Source organism: Homo sapiens, chromosome 2 (assembly GCF_000001405.40).
Source record: "Homo sapiens chromosome 2, GRCh38.p14 Primary Assembly".
Lineage (NCBI taxonomy): Eukaryota > Metazoa > Chordata > Mammalia > Primates > Hominidae > Homo > Homo sapiens.
In genome coordinates, this window is record NC_000002.12 from 224423641 (window position 1) to 224436483 (window position 12843).

Consider the following 12843-nt stretch of genomic DNA (forward strand, 5'->3'; position numbering starts at 1 on the left):
CTCAACATGGATTAAAGACTTAAGTGTAAAACCCAAAACTGTAAAACTACTAGAAGAAAACACTTTAGGACATTGGCTTAGGCAAAGATTTTATGGGTCAGACTTCAAAAGCACAGGCAACAAAAACAAAAACAAATAGGACTATATCAAACTAAAAATATTCTGCACAACAAAGACGAGAATCAACAGAGTAAAGAGACAACCTGCTGGATGGGAGAAAAGTTGTGCAAACTATTCATCCGACAAGGAACCAACATTCAGAATATACAAGGAACTCAATAGCAAAAAACACAAATAATCCTATTTTTAAATGGGCAAAGGATCTGAACAGATGTTTCTCAAAAGAAGGAAGACCAATGGCCAACAGGTATATAAAACAATGCTCAACATCACTAATCATCAGGGAAATGCAAATCAAAACCACAGTGAGATATCATCTTACCCCAGTTAGGCTGGCTATCATCAAAAAGACAAAAAATAACAAATCCTGGCAAGGATATGGAGAAAAGAGAATTCTTATACACTGTTGGTGGGAATGTAAATTAGTACAGTCACTATGGAAAACAGTACAGAGATTTCTCCAAAAAAAAAAAAAAAACTAAAAATAGAACTACCGTACTATCCAGCAATCCCACTACTGGGTATTTATCCAAAGGAAAGGAAATCAGTATATAAAAGATAAATCCACACCCCCATGTTTATTGCAGCTCTATTCACTATTGTCAAGAGATGGAATCAACCTAAATATCCATCAACAGATGAATAGGTAAAGAGAATGTGGTATATATACACAACAGAATACTAGTCAGCGATAAAAAAGCATAAAATCCTGTCTTCTTCAGCAATATCAAGAAACCTGGAGGATATTATTATGTTAAGTGAAATAAGTCAGGCACAGAAAGATAAATACCACGTGTTCTCACTCATGTGGGAGCTGAAAAAAATTGAACTCATAAAAGTAAAGAGTAGAATTGTGGTTATTTGAGACTGAGAAGGATGGAGGAAGGGGAGGATAGAAAGAGGTTGGTTAATGGATGCAAAGTTACAGCCTGATGGGAAAAATATGTTCTAGTGTTCTGTAGCACTGTAGGGTGAATACAATTAACAATAATTTACTATATATTTTCAAAAAGCTAAAAGACAAGAATTTGAATGCCCACAACACAAATGATAAATGTTAGAGGTGATGCATATGATAATTATCTTTATTTGATCATTACACATTGTATATATGTACTGAAATATCACTCCATCACATAAATATGTACAATTATTATGTGCCAACTAAAAATAAAAGGAAAAAAGAACACAATTATTAAAATCACATTTTTGGCCGGGTATGGTGGCTCATGTCTGAAATCCCAGCACTGTGGGAGTCCAAGGCAGGTGGATCACCTGAGATTAGGAGTTCGAGACCAGCCTGGCCAGCATGGCAAAATCCCGTCTTTACTAAAAACGCAAAAAAAATTACCCGGGCATGGTGGCACACACCTGTAGTTCCAGCTACTCAGGAGGCTGAGGTAGGAGAATCACTTGAACCCAGGAGGCGGAGGTTTCAGTGAGCCAAGACTGCACCACTGCACTCCAGCCTGGGTGACAGAGTGAGACTCCATCTCAAAAATAAATTAATTAATTTAATTAAATCACATTTTCTTCATAAAAATATGTATTTTTATGAAAAAGAAATCATAATTTTAAGAGTGATATTCCTCTTTTTATTTTTTCATATTTAATGACATTGCTGAACAAATGGAAATTTTGATGTTTGGGGGAAGAAAGTACAAATTTCCTAGAATTATCATATGCCAAAATAACAGTTGTTTATTAAATACTTTTGAGAGTTTTTGGAAACTATTAAATGCAGGCTGTGGTGGGTATACTACAATTTCTAAATGATAATGGCAAAACAGCTTATTGATTAATCAAATATTTCAGTTGCTATGGAAACAATTGCTAATATGTTGAGTGATATGGTTTGGCTTTGTCCCCACCCAAATCTCATCTTGAATTCCCACGTGTTGCGGGAGAGACCCCGTGGGAGGTAACTGAATCGGCGGGGGGCAGGTCTTTCCCATGCAGTTCTTGTGATAGTGAATAACTCTCACAAGAACTGATGGTTTTAAAAACAGGAGTTTCCCTGCACAAGCTCTCTCTCTTTCTCTTTGCCTGCTCCCATCCATGTACAATATGACTTGCTCCTCCTTGTCTTCAACCGTGATTGTGAGGCCTCCCCAGCCGCATGGAACTGTAAGTCCATTAAACCTCTTTTGTAAATTGCCCAGTCTTGGGTGTGTCTTTATCAGCAGCATGAAAACAGACTAATACATTGGTTTCGAATATCACCATTGTGAGAAATTATCTAATATATCAAAAACAAGAAAAATATATTTTCTATTTCATAGAGTGCCCTTTGACTCTTCTGTCTGATAGCATGGGCTTTGTGATGGGTGTTTTAGCTTGAAACTGAATACACAGTGAGAAGGCATGAGGGTGGTGTGAGTGGCTCCTTGCTATGAACCTGAAAAACCTTTTGTTGGATGGATGGCCTAGAGAAACTTCTCACTCTTCAGAGAATTCAGAATTTTTGTCCCTTTTCAAAATATCTGTAATTGCATTTAATTCTTTTTTCTAACTTACAAATTAATACCATAATTTTATGTATTCATTCAGTGACTAGTTATTGGGTCCTATTATGTGCCAGGCATGGTTCTAGAGACACAAAAACAAAAATCCTTGTTTTCTCCCATTCTAGTGGGGTACTCAGAAAATAAACAAAATGCATCTCATGAAGGAATTCAGGAATAAAATCTGAATGCAGAACAGAGACATACAGCTGTGATGGTGCTAAAGACCAGAGCCAAAGCATAACCCATGCTTTACGGGATCTAGCATTCAAATCATTTTGGTTAGCCCTGTGGACTGACCATGCCTCCCCTCCCCATCAAAATTCATATGTTGAAGCCCTGATCCTCAATGTGGTTGTATTTGGAGATGGGGCCTCTAAGGAAGATGGTTAAATGAGGTTGATATGGTTTGGTTTTGTGTCCCCACCCAAATCTCACCTCAAATGGTAATCCCTATGTGTTGAAGGAGGGGCCTGGTGGGAGACAATTGGATCACAGGGGTGGATCTCCCCCTTGCTGTTCTCATGATAGTGAGTTCTCACACGATCTCATGGTTTAAAAGTGTGTGGTACTTCCCCCTTCTCTTTCTCTCTTTCCTGCTCTGCCATGGTAACACATGCTTGCTTCCCCTTTGCCTTACGCCATGACTGTAAGTTTCCTGAGGCCTCCCAGCCAAGCCTCCTGTACAGCCTGCAGAACCGTGAGTCAACTAAATCTCTTTTCTTCATAATTTATCCAGTCTCAGGTAGTTCTTTATAGCAGTGTCAGAACAGATCAATATAAAGGTCATAAGGATGAGCCCCTGATCTAGTAGGATTCATGTCCTTATAAAAAGAAACAACAGAGAGCTCTCTGTCACTCTGTTTATCATATGAGGATACAGCAAGAAGGCAGCCCTCTGCAAGCCAAGAATAGAGCCTCACCTGAGTCCCACCATGCTGACCTGACCTTGGACTTCCAGCCTTCAGAACTGTGTGTGAGAAAATACATTTCTGTTGTTTAAGCCACCCACTCTGTCGTAATTTGTTATGGCAGCCTGGAGAGACTAATACAATTAGTAAGCCAGATAAAGCCTGGACGATCACTTACTGCAATGGTCTTTAATAACTACTTTCTAGTGTTTTACTTTTATGGCTATTTGACAGGTAATATCAGAGCAACTAAGTCTGATTTGGGGAGAAAAAAAACCGATGTGTTATTTACATCTTACATTCTCCATTCTATTCTTTTATAATAATTTATCCTCTACCTCCTTCCAAACAGGTTTGCAACATCCTTACTATAAAAGTTATAAATTGAAATAATGATGACATGGAATAAAAGGAGAAACCAAAAGCAGGAAAATGTGGAAACATGTTCAAGGAGGAAGAACTAACACAGTCATTTGTGTTGAGCCTCTTGACGGCCAAGCAAAACTTAAGGAAGTGAGAACGAGACTGACCATCCTAGAACCAATCTGGGGACTTAGGTGCCATGTGTCATGTGTGATCTGTGCGGGGCCAGCAAAGCCACAGCTGGTGGTCAGCAAATGAAAACTATTCCCCACAGATCCCATCCCCCCAGAGAATGTCGGCATGATAATTTTCCACTTCCATCTAACTTAGCTTCCTGTTCACTGTAAGATCTGAATAAATGCTTTTTCCTCATATTAATTTTTACAAATGAATGAATGGGATTTCAGAGCTACCCAAATCAGAATTTGAAAACAATACTCTTTTGGGTGTTCTTAGGAGGCAGGAAGCATACTAAAACCACCCGAAGGCACCATATAAAAGGTTACACAAAGATCACCACTGGTCACTATCTTCAGGATCTATGGTGAATTTGAGAACCTAGCCACCTATCTCCACACTCTAATTTTGCTGTAATTCTGTAGCGAGTTCATCAAACTGTCCTGCTCTCAGCCAGCTACCTAGGACCAAGTCATAATATAAGGATCTGGGGAGGAATTAGGTGCTGATAAGAAGCGTGCTGTGTGGGCACTTTGCTTAGGAGGGCAGTCCGGCTCTGATGGCTGTCTTATCCTATCTCACTTCCAGCACATTCATTCATGTATTCATTCATTCATTCTCTCTGTCTGTCTTTTTTTGTTTTTTTTTTTTTGAGACGGAGTGTCGCTCTGTCGCCCAGGCTGGAGTGCAGTGGCGCTATCTCGGCTCACTGCAAGCTCCGCCTCCCGGGTTCACGCCATTCTCCTGCCTCAGCCTCCCGAGTAGCTGGGACTACAGACACCCGCCACTGCGCCCGGCTAAATTTTGTATTTTTTTTAGTAGAGACGGGGTTTCACCATGATAGCCAGGATGGTCTCGATCTCCTGACCTCGTGATCCCCTCCCAAAGTGCTGGGATTGCAGGCGTAAGCCACCGCGCCCCGCCCCATTCTCTCTCTTTATACACAATGCCTATACATAGTCACGGCCTCACACACACTCACACACACACACACAGCACAAACAGGCACGTACACAAACCCACACACACACACACACACACAACACACACAGGCACATACACACTTCCCTTTTACCCTGGAGAAAGCAGACAGAGCCCTTCTAAGTGGTCTCCAGGTCAAAGACCAGTTTCACACTGTTGACATGTACTTGACTGCTGGGAATGCCCTGGAAAAATGTGACAGAATTTCCTTAACAAGTGTCATGAAATACTGTGTAGGGCAGGTTGAGGTTCTGGGAGAGGAAGCTCTTGATGTGCCAAGTGTGGCATTAGTCACTGTCAGTCCTCTGGGCTCTGGAACTGGGCAAAGATGCCTAAGGGGCTTTGTAGTGCCACAGTGATGCCCTGGGCTGGATCTCCTGGGGGGGCTCCTAGTGTCTCATTCCAGTTCACAGCCAGCGGTGCAGCTAAGTTTGCCTGATCCTGGCCCCAGGATGGCCTTGTTGCCCCACTTCTCTCAGCCCCACTCCCTTGCCCTGACTGTGCTGGAGGCTTCCACCTGTTCTTCCCGATCACTCTGCACCCTTCTCCTCCCTGGTCTGTGCCCTGAGACTGGCCTCTTGCCCTTTGGCTTCTGCTTGAGTTTGGCCAGTGAGGAGCTCTGGACACTGCAGGACTACAAGGGCAGGAAACTATTTCTCTGGCTCCCTCCCTCCCTGCAGGGTCATCTCAGGCTGACCAACTCCGCAGGTCCCAGCTCCTTTTGTCCCCCTTCCAGGATTCCATGGCTGCCTCTCCCCTTACCCCTCCAGAACTAAGTGCTGCCATAGCACCCCCTGGTTCCTCCCCTGATGTCTTGCATTATTCCTTGTGGTTTCCCTACACCCTGCTCACACCATTAAAACTTGTCACTTAACTCACCTCAAACCACCCAATTTGAAAGTGCCATCTGTTTCCTGATGAAACCTTGGCCCACAAGAGATCCTACACAGCCTCAGGAGGTGGACACACGTGGATTCTTCACAGCCTGAAACTGCCATTCACTAACATGGGACCTTGGGCAAGTCATCCTTTTAAGACTTTCTCTCTCTCTCTCGCTCTCAACAGTCTCAGTTTGTTGCCCAGGCTGGAATCCAGTGGCACAATCATAGTGATAGAGGCAGGAGGCAGAGAAATCCTAGACTTATAGGAGCAGGTCCCTGGTGAAACCCCACCTTCAAGCCAAAAACAGCCTGAAACCCATGGATCAGAGTGAGAACTTCTATTCCTGTTTACTCGCTCTCTCCCAATTGATTATTTCTGAATAATGCCTTTTGGCCAATTAAAAGTTGCCTTTTCCAGTACTACCTATGGCCTGCCCCACCCCCATCCTGTGCCTATAAAGACCCCATACTCAGTTGGTAGAGGGGAGATGGCCTGACTTTGGGGAGGAGACCTCCTGACTTCGGGAGAAGATGACCTGCCCTTCTCGTCCCCCGTCCAGCTCCCCTCTCTGCTGAGAGCTGTTTTCATCCCTCAATAAAATTCTCTGCCCTCACCATTCTTCAATTGTCAAGCATGACCTCATTCTTCTTGGACACTGGACAAGAGCTCGGGACCCACTGAGTACAGGTACCCAGAAAGGCTGTTACACTGGTCCTTTGCCCTCACTGGCAGAGGGCAGCCACTCCATGCAACGGGGCAGGGGCCAACTGAGCTGCTAACACACTGCCATCCACTGAGCTATGGACGGCAGAACTAAAATAACTAATTAGCACACTAACACCCACTCTGGGGCTTGAGCACCCTTGCCTGCATTCTGCTTGAGGAGACACACCTGGTCTGGCCTTGGGCCCTGCATGGAGCTTGCTCCTGTTTCAGCAGATTGTCCAGCAGGGTCCTACACTCACTTGCTCATGTGCTCCTTCCTGCAAGGGGCTGAGCATGGCGGGCCGGGTAGACAGGGTGCCCCTGCTGTGAGTCCAGCAAATGGGCTGAGAAAAATCCTGCATCAATAGCTCACTGCTGCCTTGACCTCCTGGGATCCTCCTGCCTCGGCCTCTGGAGTATCTGGGACTACAGGAACGCATCACTACACCAGCTATTTTTATTTTTAGTAGAGGTGAGGTCTCAGTACATTGCCCAGGCTGGTCTTGTTCTCCTGGCCTCAAGCGATTTTCCCAGCTAGGCCTGCATGCCCAGTCAGACTGTTTTTTAATTGGTGCAACACAGACGCTAATAGTAGCCACTAAGAAGGTTGCTATGAGGACTAACACATTCATCTGAGAGGCTCAGCACCATGAAGGGCACACAGTAATGCTCAATAAACAGCAGTTATTTGGGGGAGCAGCTGCCCTCCAGCCAGCATCTAGTTCCCACCTTCCCCATCACCCACTGCTCTTCATCACCATCTGCCCAACACTAACAAGCAGTTAGTTCACACTGCACCATTGTCCTCTCCTGCCTGGGAACATTTCTACAGGGACTCTGGTAGCTCCTCAAGTGATGAGGTTCAGGACACACTACTCCAGAATATTTTAAATGAAGGAATATGAGAAAATGCAGAAGAAGGAAGGTCTTCTGATCTTCCCCTGCCCTTCACCCCTGAAGCAAGTCATACAAACCTCATGTGAGGGGTGCCTTTCCTATACCAGAGGAAAGGAACATCCTTATCTCAGAAGATGAAGGGGCACAGAGAAGCATCTGGACAGGTGGGCCTTACTTAGTTTCCCCCAGTTAAATACCATTAGATCACACTCTTTGCCTTCTCTTATTTCTCCACGACTATCCACTCCTTATCAAACCTACTATAGAAAACACTCTGGCACTTTGGGAGGTCAAGGCAGATCACTTGAGGTCAAGGTCAAGATCGCTTGAGCCCAAGATTTTGAGACCAGCCTGAGCAACATGGCAAATCCCCGTCTCCATAAAAAATAGAAAAATTAGCTGGGTATGGTGATGCACGCTTGTAGTCCCAGCTACTTGGGAGGCTGAGGTGGATCACCTGAGCCCTGAGCCAGGGGAGATGGAGGCTGCAGAGAGCCATGATTTTGTCATGACTGTGCAACTGTACTCCAGCCTGAGCAACACAGTGAGACCCTGTCTCAAACAAACAAACAAACACTGGCTTAACTGTTTCTTCAGGTCTTCACTTCCTTATGTAAAACTTATATTAAATAAATTTGCATGCTTTTCTCTTGTTAATCAGTCATTTGTTTTAGGAGCCTTAGGCCATGAAATTAGGATGAAAAGATATTTTCCTCCCTTATAATCCCCAGTCACCATTTCCAGTCACTTGGAGATTCTTTCTTTCTTCCTCTCTTGTCTCCAGCAGCCATTCCCCCGTGGATGGGCTGGCTTCCTGATGGATCATTCCCACACAAGTAGAACAACTTTGGACTCATTCTCACATCATCATCACCCCAGAAGGAAAGGGTCCAGTGTTCTCCTGATCCAGACCTCCATGGAGATGCTGCTCACGCTTTGTGCCCCATCTGCATTGTACCAGCTCAACCACGCCCATGGCTTCCCTAACACCCATGTCGTGATGAGTCTCAAATCCAAATTCCTACGCCTGATCCATGGATCCAGGCCAGCATCTCCACTTTGGTGTCCCACAGACACCTCAAATACAACATGTCAAAAACGGAGCTCATTCCTCCCCAGCCTGCTCCAAACCCTCCCTTCCTCCTCTTTTCCTTTCCTTGTTATTAACACCTCACTCCCCCAGACTGCCAAGCCAGCAACTTGGGGTGTCACCCATGATTCATCACTCTCACTCTTCACATCCTGTCAGCTGCCAAATCCTGAAGAAGTTATCTTTTAAATATCTTTTGAATCAATTTTCTGGTTCAATGGTTTCTCTTCTGGTGAACTTCAAACACCTTCTCCTTGGCCCTTTCCGCCTAAACCTTTCTCTGCTGGACCACCAGAGCAAGCTTTCTGAGTTCATACTCTATCGCATTGCAGGCTTCTATTAACAACAGCTACTGTTTACAGTGATGGGCTAGATGCTGTTTTATCATGCCTTGCATGTATTAAATCATTGAAACATCTCAACAATTTTATAAGACAGGCCATATTCTTATCGTCCTTTTTTTTTTTTTTTTTTTTTTTTTTTTTTTTTTTTGAGATGGAATCTCCTTCTGTTGCCCAAGCTGGAATGCAGTGGCAAAATCTTGGCTCACTGCAACCTCTGCCTCCCAGATTCAACCAATGCTCCTGCCCCAGCCTCCCGAGTAGCTTAGATTACAGGCATGCACCACCATGCCCAGCTAATTTTTTTTGTATTTTTAGTAGAGACGGGTTTTACCACGTCGGCCAGGCTGGTCTCAAACTCCTGACCTCAAATGATCTGCCCGCCTCAGCCTCCCAAAGCCCTGGGATTACAGCCGTGAACCACTCCGCCCGACCTATCATCTCTACTTTTTTTTTTTTTTTTTTTTTTTGAGATGGGGTCTTGCTCTGTCGCCCAGGCTGGAGTGCAGTGGCGCGATCTCAGCTCACTGCAAGCTCCGCCTCCCGGGTTCACGCCATTCTCCTACCTCAGCCTCCCAAGTAGCTGGGACTACAGGCGCCTGCCACCACACCCGGCTAATTTTTAGTAGAGACGGGGTTTCACCGTGTTAGCCAGGATGGTCTCGATTTCCCGACCTCGTGATCCGCCCTCCTCGGCCTCCCAAAGCCCTGGGATTACAGCCGTGAGCCACCGCGCCCGGCCTATCATCCCTATTTGTTAAGGTGAGCCAAAGGATAGCCTCCGCCCATAGCGTTATTTACCTCTGTGTTTCTTCTTCACCCCTCTCCCACCTTGACCTTCCTCTTCTCCACCTATCACAACCACCACCACTTTTACTTACAGAGCCTTAAAACCGTTCAGGATTCCCACTGTCTGCCCTGCAGAATAAAGCGCAGCTCCTGGGCCTGACACCAACGGCTTCGAGAGCCCCACGCCCGACAGGCCTTCCATGGCTGGCAGGCAGGCATACCTCCCAAAGAGAACAGATCTCCAGCTGCATCCAATTGCTTGCAGCTTCCCCAACAAGCTGCATTCTTCTGCCTTTTCACATGTAAATTGCCTCTTAAATGTCTGTGCCTAAACCTCATCGCCGCTTGGCACCTGGTGAATTCCTGCTCCTTCTTAGAAATTCGGCATAAGCATTGCTCCCTCCAAAAGCCTTCTCTGACGCCTGTAGGCCTCACCACATTCATATCCATGTTACGGAACTTAGCACACTGCAACACTACCCTTGAATATCTTTCTCCAAAGGGGAAGGGCTACAGTTCTATTTATCTTTAGATTCCCAGTGCCTGACACATACTAGGTTTTTGAAAGCTTGATGAATAAATAAATGAAGAAACAAATAAAGGAACTCATGAAGGGCAAACACAAGGGGACAGCTGTGGAGAATGATTTGATGTATAATACCCATATTAATTGGGTTTTATTAACTACAGAAATGATTCTAACTTTTGTAACTCCAGAACCTCTTTAGTTATCACATTTCTTGGTTATACATGTAGGTTGGAACATGCATGTGAAATTTTTATTCCGTAAACCATACTTGATTAGACAAATAATGTAACTATATTGGGAGGGTTTCCTTTTTAAAATAAAAATCACCAAATAACTCTTGTTCAAAGTTAACTTTATCCAGTCAAATACAAACAGCACCCAGCCCTAAAGCATAGTTATGTATACAAATCTTATCTTTCAGAGGGTATCAAAAGTCTAGTGGGGAAACGTGTGAGAGATAAAAGTTTCAACTGAAATGGAAGTTATAAAAGAATGTGTTTAGACAGACATGCCGATCTACTATAATAGCCCAATAAAACTTCACATCCCCTATTGCTCAGAGCCTTCCTTTTGGGGAGAACTGGGATTCCGTGTTGATATAGACCAATCCCATATTAATCACTTCTTTCCTCTTTAAGAGTCAGATACAACAAGAGTAAAATTCTCCAAGATTATAATGATAAAATCGTTTCCCTTCATTTGGTAGAAAGAATTTAAGTTTACAGTTAAAATCTCCAGGTAGATAGCATTTTCAGAAAAGAGTGTCTGCCTTTAATTTTTATCAGAACAAGGAAAGTTATACTAAACTATTCAGCTTTGTCAACAAAGCCACTTCCTGAGGGTTTCATCTTCAGGCCAGGCACTGGGTGGGTCCTGAGGCAGAATAGGGTCTGGAGGCAGGGAACATAAGGCCAATTCCGCTGATTTCCTAGAACTAACTCAAATGGAAACACTCCAGCTATGACAGGAAATATCCTCTCTATTTACGTAGAGCGTACACCGAGTCAATGACTTTGTAACTTTACTTCATCCTCTTCATTTATATAGGTTGTACACCCAGTAACCAATGGAAACCTCTAGAGAGTATTTAAACCCCAGAAAATTCTGTAACCAGGCTCTTGAGCCCCTATGCTCGGGCTGCTCCCACCCTGTGAAATGCACTTTCATTTTCAATACATCTCTGCTTTTGTTGCTTCATTCTTTGCTTGTTTTGTTTGTTCATTTTGTCCTGGACACCCTCCACCCGTAACAGTCCCACTACAACTCCCTCAGAAAATGATGCGGTGTTTTGTTTTGTTTTGTTTTTTTGACGGAGTCTCACTCTGTTGCCCAGGCTGGAGTGCAGTGGCGTGATCTCTGCTCACTGCAATCTCCGCTTCCCAGGTTGAAGCGATTCTCCTGCCTCAGCCTCCTAAGTAGCTGGGACTACAGGGATGTGGCACCATGCTCAGCTAATTTTTGTATTTTTAGTAGAGACGGGGTTTCACCATGTTGGCCAGGCTGGTCTCGAACTCCTGACCTCAAGTGATCCACCTGCCTTGGCCTTCTAAAGTGCTGGGATTATAGACGTGAGCCACCACGCTTACACTGGACTGAGAGACATTTGCTTGTGAATCAAAATTCAAATATGTTCATATACTATGGTTACAAAGGCAAGAAATAAGTAGATTTTCTAAAATTTTTCCAACAGGAGCTGAAATGCTAAGAGCTAAATATTCAGTTTACCATAAAAATCTAAGCTCTGGGAGGCCATTGCTGAGCATTCTGATGGCTCCGGCTTTCCTAGAGTGTTTCTCAGTGTACTATGCTCTGCAAAAATGAGAAACGTGGAATGCTATCCAGTTTCTTTCTCTTGACAATTCATCAGCTGAATCCAGGCCAAAAAGAAAAAAGAAAATAGTTGAAAAGAGGCATATTCAAAAGGGTAGGAGATAAGAGGAAAATAATCGTTCGGAGCTATGAGCATAGCCATTTTATGTGAGATAAGGCTATAAAGACAAAGTATTCTAAGGGCTTTCTTTGCGACATTTTCTTGTTCTGTGACCCCCCACCCCCACACCCCCAGGGCAGAACCACTTTACAGCAGAAAAGGGTGTGTGTGTGTATTTATATCTCCTTTAACACTGGGGTCTTCTGCCACAACCATCATGAGCTAATCCTTGACAAGGAAAATAGTTCATTTCATAACTAGGAAGGTTTAAAGAGCCTGCCTAAATTCATATCACCACCCTGGAACGGGAATTAGATTTCAACTAAATGGAAAAAAATTCTAACAAATACAAATGTCCAATTTTGACTTGGCTGTTACTGGAAATTTGAGGCAATTTCAAGCAAGGACTTGAGGGTCAGACTCGAGGAAAGAGGTAGACCTACCATCTTCGGTGAGTGTGCATCCTTGGGGTGGGTCGTCTGCAGAGATGGCCACCAACTGTTCCTCCCATCCAGAGGGGGCGTCTGTCTCCACTCCCCTTGGATCTGGGCTGTCCCCGTGACTTGGTTGACCCAGTAGGATGTTTCAGAGCAGCAACATGTGACTTGCAGGGCTCCTTCTTAA

At 44.3% G+C, this 12843-nt stretch overlaps 2 annotated features.

The window, feature by feature from the left end:
• Positions 9167 to 9786: an enhancer, noted in NCBI's record as "H3K27ac-H3K4me1 hESC enhancer chr2:225297524-225298143 (GRCh37/hg19 assembly coordinates)". NCBI's record gives its function as "activates a minimal SCP1, AML or CMV promoter by ChIP-STARR-seq in primed H9 embryonic stem cells {active_cell/tissue: H9 hESC(primed)}" and the evidence as "EXISTENCE:reporter gene assay evidence [ECO:0000049][PMID:30033119]".
• Positions 9787 to 10405: an enhancer, noted in NCBI's record as "OCT4-NANOG-H3K27ac-H3K4me1 hESC enhancer chr2:225298144-225298762 (GRCh37/hg19 assembly coordinates)". NCBI's record gives its function as "activates a minimal SCP1, AML or CMV promoter by ChIP-STARR-seq in naive and primed H9 embryonic stem cells {active_cell/tissue: H9 hESC(naive and primed)}" and the evidence as "EXISTENCE:reporter gene assay evidence [ECO:0000049][PMID:30033119]".